This window comes from Homo sapiens, chromosome 8 (genome assembly GCF_000001405.40).
Source record: "Homo sapiens chromosome 8, GRCh38.p14 Primary Assembly".
In the NCBI taxonomy this organism is placed as follows: Eukaryota; Metazoa; Chordata; class Mammalia; order Primates; family Hominidae; genus Homo; species Homo sapiens.
This window is the reverse complement of record NC_000008.11, coordinates 11,595,932-11,601,921: the sequence shown is the minus strand read 5'-3', so window position 1 is coordinate 11,601,921 and position 5,990 is coordinate 11,595,932. Positions and strand designations below refer to the sequence as shown.

At 50.0% G+C, this 5,990-nt stretch overlaps 1 annotated feature.

The window, feature by feature from the left end:
• Nucleotides 1,648–2,484: an enhancer, noted in NCBI's record as "H3K27ac-H3K4me1 hESC enhancer chr8:11456947-11457783 (GRCh37/hg19 assembly coordinates)". NCBI's record gives its function as "activates a minimal SCP1, AML or CMV promoter by ChIP-STARR-seq in naive H9 embryonic stem cells {active_cell/tissue: H9 hESC(naive)}" and the evidence as "EXISTENCE:reporter gene assay evidence [ECO:0000049][PMID:30033119]".

The following is a 5,990-nucleotide window of genomic DNA, read 5'->3' as shown; positions in this document are numbered from 1 at the left end:
CCATTATTTTTTATTAAAAAAAAAAAAAAGAAGAAGAAGAGGTGGGGTGTGGCAGCTCACACCTATAATCCCAGCACTTAGGGAGGCTGAGGCAGAGGGATTACTTGGGGCCAGGAGTTCGAGACCAGCCTGGGCAATATAGCAAGACCCATCTCTACAAAAAATGTTTTAAAAAATTAACTGGGTGTGGTGGCACATGCCTGTGGTCTCAGCTGCTCAGGAGTCTGAGGCTTACTTGGGAGGTTGAGATTGCAGTGAGCTGTGATCATGCCATTGCCCTGTAGCTTGGTTAACAGGGCAAGACCCTGTCTCAAAGAAAAAAAAAAAAAGGAAGAAATACACGCAGGCAAGAGTGTGACGCCGTGATTGCCGTGGCCTCGTGCCAGCCGGGGTGGTGGGGAGGAGGCAGGAGCTGCTTTTTGCTGATGCTCCAGGCTCATAGATGTGGCTTCTGCTGCTTTCTTTCCTCGTCATTTACACGCAAAACCTGCAGATGGACAGAGTCTCGGAACCTAGTGTTCCAAACAAAAGTGCTGTCCTGGCCAAGCAAAGCAAGGAGAGTGTGTCCCTTTATCACCACTCTTGCAGGCAACCTGGGAGCTGACCCCTTTGCAGCCTGGAGGCAGGAGCTGCTGTGATGCCCTCTAGCCTTTGAGGAACAGCCCCCACCCACTCTCCCTTCCAAGGCCGTGAGGTTCAGAGTGGAAGAGTCCAGTTCTGCCTGGATCGGGTACGGTGCTGCCCACGGCAGAGGGCCCCAGAGAGAATGCAGCTGAGTGTGTACTGACCCTGGGCCTCTGGGCTCAAGGGAGGCAGCCTTTCACCCTCCAAGGAACAGGGGCTCAGACAGTCTGAGAACACAGAACACCTGGGGCCAGAGACAGGCTATTGGGAAGGACTGGGGCTATCACACGAGTGAATTCTAAAATTGCGTGTGTGTGCGTGTGTCTATGTGTATGTACACATGTAAATCAGTATTTTTTAGTGCAAAGGATAAAGTGAACTGAGAATATCATAAACACAGGCTCTTTAGGGCTCCTTCAGCGAACAGATAGTCTCATTTGTAACAAACACGTGTTGTTGATTCGCCAAATGATACAATGCTGAAAAATAATGTGCTTTTCTCCAAAAATCCTCCAACTGTTCCCTCATTCCTACTTCTATACATAGGTACATTTCTTAGCAAATGCCGTGTCCTGGAATTCAAAAATCAGGCTAGAACGGTTACAGCCAAGAGGAGCCTCAGGAGGCATGATGATGACATATACTCCAGGGTCATGGAAGAAAAAAAAGGGCATTAGGTGACAACTAAGTATCTGAAAAAATATGGACTTTAGTTTGTAGTAACGTATCAATAATAGTATTGGTGCATTAATTTGACAAGTTTAACATACTAATGTAAGATGTTAACAATGATGGAAACTGCGTGGAGGAATGTGGGAACTCTCTGTACTATCTTTGCAGCTTTTCCATAAATCTAAATCTATGCTAAAATAGAAAGTTTATTAAAAACAATCCGGCTGGCCATTGGGGGCTCCCGCATGTAATCCCAGCATTTTGGGAGGCCAAGGCCGGTAGATTGCTTGAGCCCAGGAATTTGAGACCAACTGGGTAACATGGAACCTTGTCTCTACAAAAAAATACAAAAATTAGCTGAGTGTGGTGGTGTGCACCTGTAGTCCCAGCTACTCAGGAGGCCGAGGAGGGAGGATCGCATGAGCCCACGAGTCCAAGGCTGTGGTGAGCCCTGACCACACCACTGTGTTCCGGCCTGGATGACAGAGTGAGACCCTATCTCAAAACAAACAAACAAACAAACAAAAAACAATTGTGCCTGGCCTGGTTTGATGGACTCCTGTGCCAAATAAGGGTTACAGGTGGGAGGTGGGTGAGTTGAATGAAAAATCAGAAGGCTTGTGATGGCTTCATCTGAAGTCATCTCTGGGAGTGCTTTGCCATAAACATTCTTCTTTCCCTGTTGTCTCAGCTGACCCTTATGCCAACTGCCTGAGATATTATTATCCCATTTACAGATGGAGAAACCAAGTTTGGAGAGTGCTGTCGTTTGAATGTGTCCCCTCCAAAATTCATGCTGAAAGTTAATCCCCACGGTGGCAGTATAAAGGGGTGAGGGCCTCAGGAGGTGATGAGGCTGTGAGGGCTCCTCCCTTATGAATGATTCATGCCTCATCAAGGGGCAGTCCGGGGCCAGCTGAGGCCTTTCCCCCTCCCGCCAGGTGAGAAGGTGCCAGGTGAGCATGCGCCAGGTAAGCTCGCAGCAGGAAGGCGCCACCATGGAAGCAGAGAGCAGCCCTCTCTAGACACCAGTGTCGGCCCCTTCATCTCAGACTTCCGGCCTCCAGAACTGTGAGGAATCCATTTCTCTTCTTTATAAATTACCCAATCTATGGTATTTTGTTACAGCAGCACAAGCAGAGGGAGCAGTTCTGAGCCTCCCACCACCCATTCCACCCACGCAGCTGTGCCTTTTCACAGGCAGTCTCTGCACCCACGGCTCACTTTGCTCTGTGATCCTTCCCCCCTCTCTGCCTGACTGGTGGGCCAAACCTTAATATGCCTTCGAAATTTGCTCCTATTTCACCTCCTCTGAGGAGAATTCCTTGACAGTCCCTCCTAATTCACCAGGCCACACTCTGTATGTCTTCTGAGGCCTGTGCAAATGAATTCTCTCCTCCAGCTTTTCAGATCCTGTATTCAAGCACGCCCTCCTCCAGGGTTTCCTCTTTGAATCCACACTATCCAGCCTAATGCCTAGAGGACAGTGGCTGGGAGATTTGCATTTCTTGAATTGAATTGAAGCTGGCATGAAACCTGCATTAATCAGCTCAGGCTGCCATGACAAAGTCCCACAGACCAGGTGGCTTCAACACCAGCCGTTCATCTTCTCACTGTTCTGGAGGCTAGAAGTCCAAGCTCAAGGTGCCGGCAGGGTTGGTTTCTCCTGAGGCCTCTCCCCTGGGTTTGTGGATGGCCACATTCTTGCTGTGTCCTCACATGGTCATCCCTCTGTGTTTCTGTGGCCTAATCTCCTTTTCTTTTATTATTATTATTTTTGAGACAGAGTCTTGCCGTGTCACCCAGGCTGGAGTGTAGTGGCTTGATCTCAGCTCACTGCGACCTCCAACTCCCAGGTTCAAGCGATTATCCTACCTCAGCCTCCCGAGTAGGTACCACCATGCACAGCTAATTTTTGTATTTTTAGTAGAGATGGGGTTTTACCATGTTGGCCAGGCTGGTCTCGAACACCTGACCTCAGGTGACCTGCCTGCCTTGGCCTTCCAAAATGCTGGAATTGCAGGCTTGAGCCATGAAACCCAGACCCTAATCTCCTTTTTTTTTTTTTTTTTTTTTTTTTTTAAGACAGAGTCTTGCTCTGTCACCCACGCATGCAGTGGAGAGATGTTGGCTCACTGCAACCTCCACCTACCAGGTTCAGGCGATTCTCCTGCCTCAGCCTTCGAGTAGCTGGGATTACAGGCATGCACCACCACATCCAGCTAATTTTTGTGTTTTTAGTAGAGACAGGGTTTCACCATGTTGGCCAGGCTTGTCTTGAACTCCTGACCTCATGTGACCCACCCACCTCGGCCTCCCAAAGTGCTAGGATTACAGGCATGAGCCACCACACCCAGCCAATCTCCTTTCCTTATGAGGACACCAGCCATATTGAATTTGGGCCCACCCACATGACCTCATTTTACTTTACCCCCAAAGACCAAGTACAGTCACATTCTGAGGTCAGGGGCTTAGGGCTTCAGCATGTGAATTTTGAGGGACACAATTCATTCCTTAACAGAGCCCAGGCAGATCATGCTGACTGTAAAGCTCAGGTCAGGCTATAAGGAGGGGTTGGGGGTAGAGAATGTCCCCAAGCCTCCACCATTTAAAAGATGCAGGTGAAATGCAGGCAGCTTCCTGGGCACGTCCAGGCTGGAGACTTGAAGGTGTTGCTGTCTTCCAAGACAAAGGATGTGAGAGTGACTTGTGTTTGGAAACTGATCTGAGGTCGTGAGATGATAAAAGCCATGGAAGAGGCTTTTATTTATCACCACTAATAATGGCTGCAGCCAGAAGAGGATTCTGGGGCCTCTGGTCTGTGCTTGTGTTTTCTGACCTTGACCTCTGACTATTGCGAGCTCAGGGTCTCCGAGCCCTGCTCCCATTGCTCCCGCCCTGGTGCTTCCACCGGGTCCAGCCCACACAGCGAGCAACATCTTCAAGGCCTTGGGATCCAGGGCAGGGGGAGGCCCCGGGATGGAATTTCAGACTAAACTTGCACCACAAGCTACCTTCTCAAGGGCACGGAGATGTCTCAGGCAGCAGCTGCAGCTGCCAGGGAGTGTCAGAAAGTTCTAGTTTGTTGTGCATTGGAGGAGATGGTCCTGAGAAACAGCCCACTCTGGGAAGGGGCCCTTTTCCCGAGAGCCCAACTGTCTAGGAAAGGCACAAGGACACTTGCAGGACCGAGGCAGCCGGCAACATTTCATAACTGCTGGTTTTGTGCCATCAACTTTGCTACTTTGGGAATAGGGTTTGTTTTGTCAGGCGGTGGCCATTTATCAAGCGTGTGGCAAATACCATCTGCATAGTGCTGTAAAGTCTACAGGGTCGCCCCTCATACCACTGCATCTGATCTGCACGGTGGGAAAGAGTGGGGAAGATGCTGTTGTTCACGTGCCCATCTTGCTGATGAAGGAACTGAACTTAGCAAGGTGGGATGACTTGCTCAGCCCAAGGTGGCAGGACAAGCCCTCTGGCATCTGAGAACTCAGCTGGTCCCCTGGCAGCCTTGAGAGGAAGGTCTGGAGCTTTTCATTTCTCAAGTGAAGCTGGTGGTCAGACGTTACATCAGCGCCCAACATCACACAACTGTTTGGAGGCAGAGTTGACTTCAACTAACTCTCCCGAAATCAGATCTGGAGTACTTCTTCCTCCATCATGCCACCATACCTGAGATGGGGGTGCGGGTAGGTTTGGGACCAAGACTTGCCCTCAATGTGCTTCCAATCTAGCTGTTTGAAAGACTGGTGGGCAGGCAGGGTGGGGAGTACAGATGGGGACCTATACACGGGCTTGAGGATGGGGTCACCTGCCCCCTGCCCTGGGTGCCATGGCTCCTCAACGATCTAGGAAACGTGCCGGCAGCAGCACTTGGGCCCACAAACATGGGAAGACCTGGGCTGTCACCAACAACTTCCATGGGTGGTGACCAGTCCAGAGGGGAAGCGCAATGCCACAGAAAAAGAGCATGGGTTTGGGAGTCAGAAAGGTCTGAGGGCAAATGCTGATGCTGCCTCGGATGGACTGCATGACCTTATGCAAGTCAATTAATTTCTCTGAGCCTCAGTTTCTCCACCTGTAAAGTGAAAGCAATAATGCCTGCTTGGTGGGACCGCATTGAAGATTAAATGAGATAATGTATGTCAATTTTCCATCACTGTACCTGTAGCACAGCAGATGCTAAATAAATATCAGCTACTCCTGTTATGATTATCCTGGCGCGGCTGAGTCCCTGGCGCAGGTAGAGGCTGGGAAGAGTTGATAACATGTCCTGCTGTCTCTGGACAAGCCTCAGGCTGACCCATGTGCCTCCCTGCACACCTGTCCTCCCCACATGCCAGAGGCTGGGCAAGCTTTTGAATCACTAGCTGTGGAGTCTTGGGCAAGTTATTTTCCCTCTCAAAGTCTTTCTTTCCTCATCTACAAAGTGGGGATAATAGAAATACTTTCCTCACAGCACAGTGAGAATCACATGAGGCCATGCAGGTAAAGACTCAACATGGAGAAGGCTTCCAGCATGTATGAGTGGTTGCTAACACCACCACCACCACCACCACCATCATCATCATCATCATCACCACCATCTCAAGTGGTCTTCAGTGGTCAGTGTCTGGAGAGCCACGTCGAATGGATTGAGGGCTTTGTCTGGGTTCAGCACAGGGAGTGGCATCCTTGATTAGTGGTGTGTG